This window comes from Homo sapiens, chromosome 4, assembly GCF_000001405.40.
Source record: "Homo sapiens chromosome 4, GRCh38.p14 Primary Assembly".
Classification (NCBI taxonomy): Eukaryota; Metazoa; Chordata; class Mammalia; order Primates; family Hominidae; genus Homo; species Homo sapiens.
In genome coordinates this window covers 82,786,832-82,800,172 of record NC_000004.12, presented here as the reverse complement: position 1 = coordinate 82,800,172, position 13,341 = coordinate 82,786,832, and the positions used below count along the sequence as shown (strand labels likewise).

The window sequence follows — 13,341 nt, the reverse complement described above, 5'->3', positions numbered from 1 at the left end:
ACAGTAACACTGACTCAGTGGCCTAGATTCCACAAGTGCCACATACCTTGCTTTAGCTTAAATCAGGCATTGTTTTGTCTGGCTGCTAGGACTGGCTCAGGTCTGCTAACAATAAGATGCTTATGCATGGCCCTTTCATGCAGTCAGTCTTTTAAATTTTTTTGCCTCTCTTGAAATCCTGGAAATGATTCCTAACAACGGTTAATCTAAAAATCAGCTGGTTTTGGTCAATATAATGGCGCCCCTTCGAACTCACATTCATGGAATATGGAAGCTGGAAGGAAGAGTAGAAACTAGTTCTGCTTCTCAGGTAAGGAAATCCGTGCCCAGAGAGTTGGGCTGGGTTCCAGCCAGTTAAAACTAGAACTCAGAGATGCTGTCCCGAGCCCTTTTACTTCTGCTGCCTGCCCGCAATTGCGGTCACACCTGCTTCAGACACTTCCAGCTCAATCCTCCCTCCATTTTCTGTGCAACTAGGGTCCTCTCTGGAGAGCTCTTAAGCCATCAGCTCTAGGAGAGAAGTGGGCAGACACAAATCTTTCACAGGTTAATTTTCCTTGGAACATTCTGGGTGATTTTTTTGTAAAGCCCGATTCTCAATGGTGTTGATTTCAGGGTAGTGTTCCTCACTGAGAGCTAAGGAGGCGTTGCAGAAGTGCGCTGATTAGCTAGAATTGACCATAAACAGAGTGGCGCGGCGGATGGGCAAAGGGTGGGCAGCGAACTGGCCCAAATCATCTGTGCATCACCTCACAAGCACCAACTGAGCACTTACTGTGTGCCTGGGTAATCCACAGCTGCCTAATTAAGAACGAGCAGCTGCCTTCCAACCCTCCCCTGGCCCGAGGAGCCCTACTAACTGGCAGATTGAGGGACTTCTGATTCTCATCGTGGGTCTGGCCTTAACTAGGGTCGCGACTCCAAGCAAGTATTTAAAATTCTCCAACCCAGGTGGCCTGAGGCTTGAGAAGAAATAAAAGGCTTCTCAAAGGGATGACAGTTTCGGGAAGTTTTTTTTTGGGGGGGGGACTGGAAAAATACCATAAAAGGCATTTTGGGGGTCACACACACACAAGAGCAGAAGCGCTGTGAGCCGCCCTGCAGGCTCCCTGCCCCGGGAGCCACCTTCCACCCGCCCCCGGGCGGAGGCGGCCAACTCCCGCCCAGCGGGCTCCCCAGTTCGGCCCCGAAAAGCCGAAAGGGGGGCGCCTTTGTCTATAAGCGCCGCACGGGCGCTCCTGATTGGCTGTAGCTAAGCAGGGCTTTCTTCCGCGCTCCTTCGGAGCGCTCCCTCCAGCGTCGCCGGCCCCGTTCCATTTTCACAGCTCCTCCTCCCCGGCCGCGCGCCCCTCCCGCCCCGCGCGCGCCTCCTCTTTCTCGCGGCCGAGTTCAGCCCGGGCAGCCATATGGGGGATACGCCAGCAACAGACGCCGGCCGCCAAGATCTGCATCCCTAGGCCACGCTAAGACCCTGGGGAAGAGCGCAGGAGCCCGGGAGAAGGGCTGGAAGGAGGGGACTGGACGTGCGGAGAATTCCCCCCTAAAAGGCAGAAGCCCCCGCCCCCACCCTCGAGCTCCGCTCGGGCAGAGCGCCTGCCTGCCTGCCGCTGCTGCGGGCGCCCACCTCGCCCAGCCATGCCAGGCCCGGCCACCGACGCGGGGAAGATCCCTTTCTGCGACGCCAAGGAAGAAATCCGTGCCGGGCTCGAAAGCTCTGAGGGCGGCGGCGGCCCGGAGAGGCCAGGCGCGCGCGGGCAGCGGCAGAACATCGTCTGGAGGAATGTCGTCCTGATGAGCTTGCTCCACTTGGGGGCCGTGTACTCCCTGGTGCTCATCCCCAAAGCCAAGCCACTCACTCTGCTCTGGGGTAAGTCCCGCCGGCGCCCCCTGCGCCCCGGCCTCCGTGGCCAGGCCGCGCTGGGGCGCGCGAGGTCGCCGCTCGCCCCTCGGCTGCGGGCGGTGCGCAGCGACCCCCGGTCTCCCCTCGCCTCCCGCTGCGCGCCGCGGCCCCCTTGGCATCCAGTTTTCCGTCCCTTGGGACGGGCAGGTGTTTCTGTCCCAGTATTTCAACTTCCGCCCCCCCCCCGCCCCCACCCCGCCGCGGTCTGCCTGAGGAAGCGCATTTGCCGGCTTCCCGATGGAGAGCCGGGGGGGACCCGGAGTCCTGCGGTGCCACCGCTGTGCGCAGAGGCGCGCGAAGGGAGAGGCTCGGCACAGGCTGAATCGGCTCCCAGCGAGGGAGGACGGGCGGGCGATTGTGTCACCTCTGCGGTCCCTGGGGCTCTCCTATCCCCCCCATCACCTCCGCGGGTCACGGACCTTGGGGACAGAGATGAGGACAAGTAAGGGAGTTGGACCGGGGAGGAGAGACCCGGCACAGGATAGAGTCTTGGTTTACGCGCACCAGATGGAAGATACCGGTTCCCCTCTTGCCTCTCCAAGGCCCCTGTCCCTGCCCCCTCCGCAATCTTCTATGCCCATTTGCAGTTCTCGGTGAAGTTTCTCGGTGAGCAAACCGATCCCATGGCGAGAGCGGTCTGACCCTAGCACGAAGCTCCGACTGTGGCTGTGCAGAGCCTTCTCCAAACCCTGTTCCCATGTGGCCAGTGGGAACCTGTGGCTCTCCTGGTACCCTCCTTCCGTGCACCCCCACTCCTGCCAGTAGGGAAGGGAGCCCGGGCGCCGACCACCATTCCCCTTCCCCTGGGCCCCAGGGACTGCGTGCCCACCCTACACGACCCCAGTCGTTGATCTTTGAACCACTTCGCAGCCGCCCTGGCCGCAATAACTGGTTTTGGCCTCCTTTACTGAAGCGGCAGTAGCCAGGACAAAAGGCACAGGCATTGATATGCTGAGTGAGAATTTGACGAGGTAATCCAAGATGCCCTTCCAGCTCCCGTTTCCCTGATCTCTAGGGGCGGGCAGGAGAAACACAACCTACTTTTATTTCCAGAGGGGAAGAGGAAGGAAGAAAATAAGACCTCTTTCTACAGGGCTTTTTTGGCATGGTGCCAGCTGCAAATGCCTAGGTAGATAATGGGGCCACTATGGTTCCAAGCCTTCCCTTGAAATCCTGCAGTCCCTGCTCTTGGAAGTAAACCCATCCAGAAGTGGGTACCTCTTAGGGGGTGTGGCTCAGGGAGGGCATAGCAGAGTTGACGGATGGTGAGAGAGGTAGGATCTTTGGGGATCCCTAAAGCCTTTAAAGTCTCCCCAAAGCTCTGGGAAATCTCCTGCTTCATCTTTCCTTCTCTCAGTGCACCTCCTCATTTCTGTGTCCTTTTCACCATCACCTTTATGTGTTGGTTTAATTCTCCAACTGACTGTAGACTGTATGATGTTCAGCTGTTGCTTCATCAACACACTCCGACACTGCCAACCAAAGCCCTTATTGCCCAGAGTTCTCCAACAAGCTCCTCTCTCCCCCCTGCTTCCAGAGGCAGGGCTGGGCTTGGTCCTCAGAGCCTGGTGACCTCTAGGGGATTGAGGCTTATCTTTAATAGCTGTGGTGTTCAGAGAGTGCTCAGGGAAAAGTGAGCACTTAAAATATTATCTTACATGCCTAGGGCTCACTGGCTCCACTTCTTACAGCCTCTGAGCCCCAAGACCCTGGCACTGGACCAGGAGCCACAAGGACAAGGCCCCTCTCTCCAAGTTTGCCAGGTCACCTCTGCCCTTTCCGGACCGCTCTCTGTGGTGAAGATAGAACCTTTGTTCTGAAAGATCTTGGCTTAGAGGACACCTCCCAGGCCCCAGTGTCCTCTAGCTTCCTTAGAGAAGTTAACACACTGAAGGAATCTGGTTTCCCCTTTGTGACTCATGTCCCAAACCCCATTCCATACCTTCCTGGATAAATTCTGCCTGTGCTTCATCTGCTATTTCCTAAGTCTTTTTTTTTTTTTTGAGACAGAGTCTCGCTCTGTCGCCCAGGCTGGAGTGCAGTGGTGCGATCTCGGCTCACCGCAAGCTCCGCCTCCTGGGTTCACACCATTCTCCTGCTTCAGCCTCCCAAGTAGTTGGGATTACAGGTGCCCGCCACCACGCCCGGCTAATTTTTTGTATTTTTAGTAGAGATGGGGTTTCACCGTGTTAGCCAGGATGGTCTCAATCTCCTGACCTCGTGATCCACCCACCTCAGCCTCCTAAACTGCTGGAATTACAGGCGTGAGCCACTGCGCCCGGCCCGTAAGTCTTAATTCTCTCCCCACCTTCATTGCCTCCCTAAAAAAAAAAATAGCAGACAATGGTAGATATTAGAGTTTTAAGGTCCAAAATTGTGACTTAGAAACAGTCCAAACAATGGGTCTTATCTGATGAATAGCTACTGCCTCTGCTGCTTTTTTTTTTTTTTTTTTTTTTTTTTGTGAGACAGGGTCTTGCTGGAGTGCAGTGGCACGATCATAGCTCACTGCAGTCTCAGTCTCCTGGGCTCAAGCAATGCTCCCACCGCAGCCTCCCAAGTAGCTGGGACTACAGGTGTGCACCACCACACCTGGCTATTTTCTTTTTCATTTTTTTGTAGAGATGGGGGTCTCACCATGTTGCCCAGGCCGGTCTTGAATTCCTGGGCTCAAGCAGTCCTCCCAAAGTACTGGGATTACAGGCGTGAGCCACTGTACCCAGTCTCATGAATAGCTTTTGAGGGAAGAAATGAGGGACAATCAGAGACCAGCTAAGATCAGCTGTGCTGATGGCTAGGCTACATAGTAAGCAGAGGGACGAGGCAGACCACTGACTCAGGGTTATTTTCAGTGAAAGCCCTGGTGCCTTGATCCACAAATTTCCCCCCACTGAAGGCCCTTTTTCACCACCTCCCTACTGGTTATGTGTAGCATTAGGGCCAAGTTCATGCCCCAGTGGGCTGCTCATGCACTTCAAGGACCTGACTTGTAGAGGAAATAGGCTTAGCCTGTCCATTGCTTGCCACCCTCCACACCAGATGAGGTTGTGCTGGAAACAAGAGGCATCTATGCAGTGCACCCAGCAGGGGATGTGTTGGATGTGCAGTGTGCAGAGAGTAATTTGTGTGGTGGTAAAATGTCATCCGTGAAAGAGCCATCAAATTGTTAGTTCATCAAGTTGTTAGTTCTCCTTGGGGCCAGAGCATGTTGTTTTCCCTTTTTATCCTTTTCGTTTTATGAGTGGGCAGGCTGTCAGGACAGAATGCTCTTGGTGCCCCCAGGTCCTCAGCAATGCGTTCATGACTTTCAAGGACAGAAAGCGGCCGGGCATGGTGGCTCACGCCTATAATCCCAGCAGTTTGGGAGGCCGAGGCGGGCTGATCACAAGGTCAGGAGATCGAGACCATCCTCGCTAACACGGTGAAACCCCATCTCTACTAAAAAAAATACAAAAATTAGCCGGGCGTGGTGGTGGGCACCTGTAGTCCCAGCTACTCGGGAGGCTGAGGCAGGAGAATGGCGTGAACCTGGGAGGTGGAGCTTGCAGGGAGCCGAGATTGCGCCACTGCACTCCAGCCTAGGCGACAGAGTGAGACTCCGTCTCAAAAAAAAAAAAAAAAATGGACAGAATGCAAACTCCAACTAGAGGAAAAACCTGCATCTGAAGGCTTGAGCTCACAAAAATGCCTGCTTGAGAGTTTCTGGCCAAAGGGACAGTTAGTCAATGCCCTGAATCCCAAGATGGGTAGAGCAGGGAGTGAGGCCTTGCAGTTACTGTGTGGACGTGTGAGTCCTGGGGCTGCTTCCCAGCGGAGCCTCCCCTGATGGCCTCCAGACATCTGGCTGTTGGCTCCCAGAAACATCAAGGCCTTTTCTGTTTTTTCCCTAAATGTCATCCGAGTCCCCTAAATGTGTCCCATAGTGACATCATGACTCTTTTCCTCATGAGATAACTTCAGTGACAGCACCAGGCATGCAAAGCAGTAATTTTCCCTGTTTCCTTTGATAGATCAGCCATCCTTCTATCCTGTCTTGGCGCAAACGTGACCATTGTTAAGGCAGATATAGCGTTCTCTGGTGCCCTGCTGGGTTCTTGGAGCATCTGTACCATCCTGAGTGGGATTCAGCATATGGCAAGGAAACTGAGAAGTGGTGGAGATTAACAAGGCAGTGTGGGGTGATGGGATGGTCAGTAGAAGCTGGGGCTTGGAAGGCACTGGTCCACCAGTCACATTCTGAAATTTGCCCAAAGATGAGCTGTCTTCCGTTGGGCATCGGGTAGTCTGTACCTGGTCCTGATGTCTTCATTGGGTTGTGCTTCTTTTCCATCAAGTCCCTCAGGTTGTTGAGGACCCCCAAGAATGCATGGTCATGGACTTCTGTCTTGCCCCAAGGTTTTCTAGAGTAAGCAAGGCTCAGTAGACAGGCAGATCTGAATGTGAATCCCTGCTCTTCTACTTACTTACCAGCTGAATGGCCTTGGACAAATTTACATCTCTGAAGCAGTTTTCTCACCTTTAAAATGGATATATTAATACTGTTTGTTCCTAAAGTTGTGAGAATCAAATTAGATGATATGTGTAAATCACTGAGCACAGTGCCTGGCTCTTGGTTGGTGTTAATTATTCACTGTCATTATTATTGGTCCTAATACTGGCCCCTTTTCTTTAGCAGAAGAAAAAAAAGTCTTCCGGCAGCGCAATAAATTCCACAAAGATGGCACAGAACTTGGCTTCACAGCCTCTCTTGCATAGAAAAGATAGATTTGGCTTTGGAAATAAGGGCTCTTTCTCAACGTTCCAAAGAGAGATGAACACAAATCCCTTCTGTGCTTCCTCCCTCCTTCATGCCCTTCTCTTTCATTCCATCTTCCTCCTGTTTTCCTCCAAAAGATCATTGTTTTGTAGCTGGGATCTTTTTGTTCAGCTGACAACTCAGCTGGTCTTGAGCGTTTTCTTTGGGATTTTTGAGCACAGCCAGTTACAATTGCTACAGAAACAGGGCCACATCATTTCTTTGAATCTCTTAGAGTCTCAGTTTTGACTTTTCTCCCTCCCTCTTCCTTTGACTCATCATTTAAAAAACTTTAATGCTCAATTAAACTACTAAAAATCTAAGAAAAGTGAATGACTCTTCCTTTCAAACGTTGTAATTCCAAGCCCATTGTTGTTACAACTCTTGCATTTTTAACAAATGGGCAAGCATTAAGAGCCTTACCCAAGCCTGGATTGCAGCTAGACCCGAAAGAATAGAGTGTGCTTTTGCTGGCTCTAATAGTCCCAACAAGTATGAACATAGATTGAGGTTAACATTATTAACTCAATTTTAAAACAAACAAACTGATCAAGGTCACTGCAGACGGCACTGTGACCATGAAATGAGAAAGAGAGCTGCAGAGTAGAAACCAGTGCGAATCCTGACATTGCTAATTAGTTCAACTTCAGACTCGTTTCTTTACAGTTTGTGAGCCTCAGTTTCCTCATCTGTAAAGTGGATACAATAATCTTGAGCAGACAGTTATTTGAGAATTTGGGCATATGTATTTTCTTTGAGACAAGATCTTGCTCTGTCACTTGGGTTGGAGTGCAGCAGTGCCATCATGGCTCACTGCAGCCTCAACCTCCTGGGTTCAAAGTGATCCTCCCACCTCAGCCTCCCAAGTAGCCAGGGCTAGAGATGTGTGCCACTGCACCCAGCTGTTTTTTGTTTGTTGGTTGGTTTTTTGTAGAGATGGGGGTCTCACTATGTTGCCAGGGCTGGTCTTGAACTCTTGGGATCCAGCGATCCTCCTGCCTTGGCCTCCCAAAGTGCTGGGATTACAGGCATGAGCCACGGTGCCTGGATAGGGCATATGCTAAAGGACTTGCTAAAGAGTAGACACTCAATGCTATCTACTATTATTACCTCCCAAGGTAGGGGCCTGGTCATGAAACCTGCACTGGCTTACTGGTCTGTCTCCGACTTGGAGTACTTGTGACTCAAATGTAAGGCACAGCTTTTTTTTTTTCTAGATGGAGTTTTGTTCTTGTTACCCAGGCTGGAGTGCAAGTGCAGTGGTGCGATCTCAGCTCACTGTAACCTCTGCCTCCTGGGTTCAAGCGATTCTCCTGCCTCAGCCTTCCCAGTAGCTGGGATTACAGGCATGCACTGCCATGCCTGGCCAATTTTGTATTTTTAGTAGAGACAGGGTTTCTTCATGTTGGTCAGGCTGGTCTCAAACTCCCGACCTCAGGTGATCCGCCCTCCTCGGCCTCCCAAAGTGCTGGGATTATAGGTGTCAGCCAGCGTGCCCGGCCAGGCACAGCTTTTAAATCCAAATATTTAGTCATGACCTTGCTATAATATTTTAGTTTTCCTCACCTAGTTTTGTGTGTGGCATAAAATTATAATAGTTGCTTGGAAAAAGTCAGTGATTTGCAAAAGGGTGACACAGCCATGGTTTTGTTGTTGTTGTTGTTGTTGTTTTAAGGATCTATAAAAGTGTCTTTGAGTAGCATTTTTTTTTCATTGAACATTTATTTTGAAATTCTGTAGTCTCTGGAACACAGTCTACCCATTCCTCTGTCCCATGTTTCTTTGGAAGTGCCACAACCTTGGGTGTAACAAGAGTACAACCAGCATTAGGCTGTACCTGGAATCAAATGAATGCAGTAAGGAGCTTGCCTGGAAGCCAGCACAGAGTAAATGTTAGCCTTCCTTTTCCATCCACACGTTTCCTTAGTGTTTCACTTCGCTCATTCCCTCTGTTCAGCTCCTCCTTTGGAGAGCGAGACACTCTAGCCAGCCCGCTGGATAAAGAAAGCCCCATGGTTATCAGGAAGCCCTGGTCCTGGGTAAAGGCAGTTTTTTTTTTTTTCCAATTTTATTTCCCCTGGCAATGGATTGGTGGCCACAACAACAGGTACCTGTTGTGAGCTGTTTTCCCTCACAAATGCCCATTGTTTGTTCATTACATGTGTGAATGGCCATGAGAGAGATCCTCACAGTAGTGCATGCAGGCACATATTCATTCATCCACTAATCTTTTTTTTTTTGAGATGGAGTCTTGCTCTGTCTCCTAGGCTGGAGTGCAGTGGCACGATCTCGGGTCACTGCAACCTCCATCTCCCGGGTTCAAGCGATTCTCCTGCCTCAGCCTCCTGAGTAGCTGGGACTACAGGTGCATGCCACCACGCCCGGCTAATTTTTTTATTTTTAGTAGAGATGGGGTTTCACCGTGTTGGCCAGGATGGTCTCAGTCTCCTGACCTCATGATCCACCCACCTTGGCCTCCCAAAGTGCTGGGATTACAGGCATGAGCCACCACACCCAGCCCAAGAATCATTTTTTAAGTTCCAATGATTGTCAGAAATGGTGGCACATCAGAATCACTTGGGTGGTGATTAAAATTGTCAGAAGCCTGGGCCTTTCTTTACCTAGGCCTGATGAATTGGAATGTCTAAAAGAGATGCCCTGGCTTTTTTTTTTCTTTATTTTATGCTATTCAGGTGTTTCTAATGCACAGCGGGCTGAGAACCATTATTCAGTTTCCTTATTCAACAATATTTATTACTTACTCATTACCTGCCAAGCGCTGGCACCATCCTTGACTTCATTGCACTTACAGGCCAGTTGGAGAAATAGGTGCACAGGTGACACCCCTCAAGACACCATCCATTCTCAAGTGCCATGGGACCGAGAATCAGTGCCAGCTTAGGGGGAATTGGGAGGCTCCCCAAAGGTAGGAGCCAAGTGGAGCATGGCAGGAGGTGCAGGGCTGGTCGTGGAGAGGCTGGGTGAGCTGGCATCACAACCTGAGCAAAGGTCCTGAGAAAGAGAGACAGGGCAGGGCAGCTCAAGAACTCAATTGTTCAGCGTGGCTGGTGAGTAGAGTGGAGAGAGAGGAACATAACGTGGAGAGGGAGACGTGCTGGAGGTCTCTGCTCAGTGGTGAAAAGATTTAGCAGACCTCATCTGGTTTGTGGAAAGAGAGGCTGCCCAGGGCTCCCTGCAGCCTTCCCACTGGCTCTCACCTCCTCCTCTCAGCCCGTCGCACATAACAATGATTTCTAGTGTGGAGGAACAGTCTCAAGCCCAATTTCTAGACCAGCACTTGTCGGTGGGATGTGTGAAGTTATTCAGGAAAGACACTGGGACAAACATCTCATTGGGTGCCAGTGTCCCTGACTCTTTAGTGGGCTTGAAGTGGGGCTGAGTGCCTGCCTCAGGCTGCATGGAGCTGAGGGGAGGCTTGGAATAAAGTCTCAGTTGGGCATTTGATTTCACAGACTCAGACTCAGTCCTGGGGGAAAAATTACTAACAAACAAATACACTAACAACAACAACAACAAAAAACCCCTAAGGCTATCACAAACTCAGACCAAACCCAGAGCCTGTCCTCCTTCCCCTTCCTTCCTTTGACCTGTACTCTTTCCACTGCTTCTAAAAGGTACATGTGTGGAGAGGGGGTTGTTCCCATTCCCCCTCATTCTTTCTTTAGCAGCTGATTCCCACGAGCCCACATTCCAGGGAAGATGGATCTGCCCTCCTTCATATCTCGCTGCCCATTTTTGCAGGTGTTGGGGCTACTGCAGGGCCTGCTGCTTACTAGAAAGGTTGGAGGGCTCTGTGGGTCCTGGCAGGCTGCAGGTTTCTCTCTGGAGACATTCCAGAGCTTTAGAACAAACATGCAGACAGTCTTACAGCTGCAGTTGCCTGAGCCTTAAGGGCCTTGCTACTCAAAGTGTGGTCCTCAGACCGCCAGCATCAGCATCACCTGGGAGCTTGTTAGAGAAAACAAATCTCAGACCTCACCGACCCCACGGAATCACTATCTGCATTTTAACGACATCTCCAGGTGATTCATCTGCACACAAGTTCAACCACAGGCTGACCATTTAGAGAAGCTGGACTTGAGTGGGATTTTGCAGTTTTTCCTTTTGATGGCCTCCTCCCCTTTGCTTCCCCTCCTACCCTTCTGACTCCTTGTAGCTTATTTTAGAACATGTCGGGATCCTGCTTCTCTTGTCAACAAAAGGCTGTTATTAAAATCTTTCAGCCGGCAGCAGCAATGTTTAATTCATGGACTAGAAAATTAATTTTATTTTCATGAATAGAGCTGAGGAAAAATAGCAAGGAGACTCTGTGCATGGCCCTTGGGAATCCAGCTTGTCTATTTAACAGATGAACTGGCAACAGTGGGGAGGCCTGAGGGGAGGGCTGCCTTCTACAAACTTGTGTAGCAAATTGTATTAGGATGCTTTTGGCTGCAGGTATCACAAAATTCAGCTTCAAATGGCTTAAAAGAAAAGGAAAATTTCTAATTTCACTGATAAAAAATCTTGAGATAGGGTACTTTTAGGATGACCCAGAAATGCCATCAAATAGCAGGTTTGTTTTCTGCCATGGTGGCTTGTTGCATTCAGTTTTCCTCATGGTTACAAGGTGGCCGCCAGAGTTCCGGGCAGCACATGGAGTCAATGTCCTATGGAAGGAGAAAGAGGCTGCCCCTCCCTGAAGTTTCATTTTATCAGAGACAAAATCTTTCCTGGTTACCTCACAGCTGATCCTCACAGCTGGTGTCCTCTTAAATCTCACTTGTGGCCAGGTACAATGGCTCATGCCTGTAACCCCACCACTTTGGGAGACTGAGGTGGGTGGATCACTTGAGGCCAGGAGTTCCAGACCAGCCTGGCCAACATAACGAAACCCCTTCTCTACTAAAAATACAAAAATTAGCTGGGAGTGATCGTGAACACTTGTAATCCCAGTTACTCGGGAGGCTAAAGCACGAGAATTGCTTGAACCCAGGAGGCAGAGGTTGCAGTGAGCCGAGATCATGCCGCTGCACTCCAGCCTGGGTGACGGAGCGAGACTGTCATAAAAAAGATTTTAAAAAAAGTCTCACATGTAGGATTGTGTCATGCGTCCCTTGGTAAACCAGTCATTGGGAAGGGGATGGATTACTATGGGTGGCTCAGCCTGATCAGGGTTGGACACTTTCTTCATCTGTTGAGGATACTATAACAGAGTACCACAAACTGGGTGACTTTTAAATGGAAGAGGAAGAAATTTATTTCTGAGTTCTGGAGGCTGGGAAGTCCATGAACAATGCATCGGTAGATTGGCGTCTGGTAAGGACCCACTTCCTTATTCATATATGGTGCCTTCTTTCTGTGTCTTCACATGGCAAAAGGGGTGAAGGGTCTCTTCTCTCTCCAGCCTTTTAAAAAGTATTGATTGATTGATTGATTGTCTGACAGGGTCTTGTTCTGTCTCCTAGGCTGGAGTACAGTGGTGCACTCACAGCTTACTCTAACCACGAACTCCTGAACTCAAGGGATCCTTCTACCCCAGCCTCCCAAGTAGCTAGGACTACAGAGGCATGCTACCATACCTGGTTAATTTTTTACGTTATTATTTTTGTAGAGAATGAGGGTCTTTTTATGTTGTCCAGGCTGGTCTCAAACTCCTAGCCTCAAATGATCCTTCCACTTCAGCCTCCCAAAGTGTTGGGCTTACAGGCATGAGTCACTGAGTCTAGCCCACCAGCCTTTTCTTAGTGCCTTAGAGGGCACTAATCCCATTCCTGATGGTTCCATCCTCATGACCTAATTACCTCCCCAAAGCCCCACCTCCTAATACCAACACCTTGAAGGTAAGGATTTCAACATAGGAATTTTGGAGGGAAGACAAACATTCAGACCACAGCAGCCACTGAGTCACATGAGGCAAGGGCAAAAGAGCCAAATGAAACAGAGGCTCTGGCTCGAAGGAAGCGGAGGGCGTGGCTGCTGAGACAGCCAACACCTCTTCCAAGGCCTTCCTTGGTGTTGCCTCCATTCCCTGGAAAGGTCTGGCTCCTGTGTTTTACATTTCAGTGTGCTCTTCCCAGTAGAGCGGTAGGTTACTCTGGGCACAGGGAATTTTTAAACACCCTTGTGGGAGGGTTCCTGGAACTGAATTAAAAGAAAAAAAAAAAAAGGGAAAACCAGTGACTTAGAATGTGTTCTTTACCAAGATTCTCCATGGTGACATACTTTCCCCAGACTGATCGTTTTCTTGGTTGGTCATTTTCCACATCTTTCAAGTGACACAGAATCTCACTGATGAAGTCCTAACAGGATTTCTGTTCTCTTGCCTCAGATTTTGCTTCAAAAGGGAGCATTTATAAGGCCAGTGCATCCTCACTTAACCTCACACAGCAGGTACTTTTTATTTGCACAAACAATCTAGGAACAAAGATCTTGCTTAGGAGGAGGGAGCTAACTGTGTGAAACAAAACAATAGCTTTTGGCCGGAGTGGACGGAAAACCTTATTTTAAAGGGCAGATGTCAGAAAAATGTGTAGAGCGGGACTGTGGCATAGCCATTGTGTAAAACCTTTCAGTCAAACAAGGCATGTACAATGCCTACTTAAGGTAAGTGCTTGATCTACGTTGCTCCTGGTGGCTATTGGGA

At 50.1% G+C, this 13,341-nt stretch overlaps 1 protein-coding gene across 2 annotated transcripts in view, besides 5 other annotated features; it reads left to right on the top strand.

Annotated features, from left to right (window-relative positions):
• Window positions 219–935: an enhancer, noted in NCBI's record as "H3K4me1 hESC enhancer chr4:83720391-83721107 (GRCh37/hg19 assembly coordinates)". NCBI's record gives its function as "activates a minimal SCP1, AML or CMV promoter by ChIP-STARR-seq in primed H9 embryonic stem cells {active_cell/tissue: H9 hESC(primed)}" and the evidence as "EXISTENCE:reporter gene assay evidence [ECO:0000049][PMID:30033119]".
• Window positions 936–1,653: an enhancer, noted in NCBI's record as "H3K4me1 hESC enhancer chr4:83719673-83720390 (GRCh37/hg19 assembly coordinates)". NCBI's record gives its function as "activates a minimal SCP1, AML or CMV promoter by ChIP-STARR-seq in primed H9 embryonic stem cells {active_cell/tissue: H9 hESC(primed)}" and the evidence as "EXISTENCE:reporter gene assay evidence [ECO:0000049][PMID:30033119]".
• Window positions 1,022–1,441: a silencer, noted in NCBI's record as "silent region_15535". NCBI's record gives its function as "represses an Ori minimal core promoter by ATAC-STARR-seq in GM12878 lymphoblastoid cells {active_cell/tissue: GM12878}" and the evidence as "EXISTENCE:reporter gene assay evidence [ECO:0000049][PMID:35858748]".
• SCD5 (stearoyl-CoA desaturase 5) overlaps window positions 1,377–13,341 on the top strand; it is a 169,258-nt gene continuing 157,293 nt past the window's right edge. For both annotated transcript variants that reach the window (NM_001037582.3, NM_024906.3), the window contains exon 1: window positions 1,377–1,867. In NM_001037582.3, coding sequence (NP_001032671.2) covers window positions 1,636–1,867 — 232 coding nt within the window. In that variant the 5' untranslated portion in view covers window positions 1,377–1,635. The remainder of the gene's footprint in view (window positions 1,868–13,341) is intronic.
• Window positions 1,772–1,821: a silencer, noted in NCBI's record as "silent region_15534". NCBI's record gives its function as "represses an Ori minimal core promoter by ATAC-STARR-seq in GM12878 lymphoblastoid cells {active_cell/tissue: GM12878}" and the evidence as "EXISTENCE:reporter gene assay evidence [ECO:0000049][PMID:35858748]".
• Window positions 2,630–3,151: an enhancer, noted in NCBI's record as "OCT4-NANOG-H3K4me1 hESC enhancer chr4:83718175-83718696 (GRCh37/hg19 assembly coordinates)". NCBI's record gives its function as "activates a minimal SCP1, AML or CMV promoter by ChIP-STARR-seq in naive H9 embryonic stem cells {active_cell/tissue: H9 hESC(naive)}" and the evidence as "EXISTENCE:reporter gene assay evidence [ECO:0000049][PMID:30033119]".